Raw genomic sequence first — 1,947 nt, 5'->3', positions numbered from 1 at the left:
CAGCACTTTGGGAGGCAGAGGCAGGTGGATCATGAGGTCAGGAGATCGAGACCATCCTGGCTAACGCAGTGAAACCCCGTCTCTACTAAAAATACAAAAAATTAGCTGGGCGTGGTGGCGGGCGCCTGTAGTCCCAGCTACTAGGGAGGCTGAGGCAGGAAAATGGCGTGAACCCGGGAGGCGGAGCTTGCAGTGAGCCGACATCGCGCCACTGCACTCCAGCGTGGGTGACAGAGTGAGACTCTATCTCAAAAAAAAAAAAAAAAAAAAGAAAAGAAAAGAAATGAGAGTAGTACAATAAGATATTGAGAGGCAGAGAAAAAGAGATAATATTTACGTATTACATATATTATTACTTTCACATATTATACATATATTCACATATTATTTCTTTTATTATAGTATATTGTGACAATGTTCTATTTTATTGTTATTATTGTTAATTTCTTATTGTGCCAAATTTAGAAATTATACTTACCATAGGCATGTATGTACAGGAAAAAACATATTATATATAGGGTTCACTAACATTTGCAGTTGCAGGCATCCACTTGGGATCTTGGAACACATTTCTGTGGATAAAGTGGGACTACTATATTGCCTATCACAGTGATTGAAAATGTAGGGCATGAAGTATGTGAAATTTATGTTTTCTTCCTTAGGCTAATCTCATCAGCAGATCTGTCCTGAAACTAGTTTAAAAAAAATCCAGGGATTTAAATATTGAAGAATATATATTTTTTATGAAGCTCATTTTTAAAAACAATAGTATATCTGAGAATCTCTCTTGTTGAGGCATTGTATAAAAGTTTTTGAGTTCTGGGCCTGGGTCCAGGTTGGGTATTGTTAGCAAGGAGGCCACAGGCAGGGAACACTTGTACTCTAATCCCAGGCTCGATGTGTGGGTATAAATTATGTAACTGCTATCTGTTCTCTGGGCAGGACCAGCTCTCCTCTCCCAGGCAAAGGCACAACATTGGGTAAAGAATCCAAGGCTCTTTCTTATTCCTTGATCTAACTGACCTCATTTTTCTTCCAGGGCTACACTGTGCTCATTCCAGCCTTTAGGATTTTACAGTTGCTATCTGTTTTCTGTGGAAAGTTCTGTCTCCAAAACATTGCAAGTCGGTAACGTCTTACTATCCAGTTGTCATCTCAGATGTCACCTCTTCTGGATTTTATTTTCTTCATATACTAATCTCTCTGCAAAATTATCATAATGATTTATTTATCATTAAGTAAATACAAGTTTAGTTACTACTATGCAACAGGTATTGGTTCATGTTTCTGGAATACATTATTTAAAAAAATAATGTATTTTTAAATCCCTGTATTCTGGAAACAATGATGTAATATCTTATGCATTGTTTCATGCATAGGTATTACATGAAACAGGTACCATGTCATGTTTCCAGAATACAGGGATTCAAAACTAATGGTATCCCTGAAAGTAAGGAATTCAAATTGCACGCACATGATAAACATGTAAACAAATAAATCATTTTAGGGCTAGATGAAGTGTATGAAAAATAGCCACCAAGACGCAAACTGAAGCCCTAGAGAACATAGAAATTGAGAAGCTCATTTGAGTAGGTAAGGGTTAAACTCTCATTTTTAAAAATTTTTTTTGAGATGGAGTCTCACTCTGTCACCAGGCTAGAGTGCAGTGGCACGATCTCGGCTCACGGCAACCTCTGACTCCCTGGTTCAAGCGATTCTCCTGCCTCAGCCTCCTGAGTAGCTGGAATTACAGGCACGCACCACCACACCCAGCTAATTTTTGTATTTTTAGTACAGATAGGGTTTCACCATGTTGGCCAGGATGGTCTCAATCTCCTGACCTTGTGATTCACCTGCCTCGGCCTCCCGGAGTGCTGGGATTACAGGTGTGAGCCACTGTGACCAGCCAAGGGTTAAATTCTTGAGACGATTGTGTTTTAACTTATT

The sequence above is a fragment of the Homo sapiens genome, chromosome 11 (assembly GCF_000001405.40).
Source record: "Homo sapiens chromosome 11, GRCh38.p14 Primary Assembly".
In the NCBI taxonomy this organism is placed as follows: domain Eukaryota; kingdom Metazoa; phylum Chordata; class Mammalia; order Primates; family Hominidae; genus Homo; species Homo sapiens.
This window is presented reverse-complemented; position numbering follows the sequence as displayed.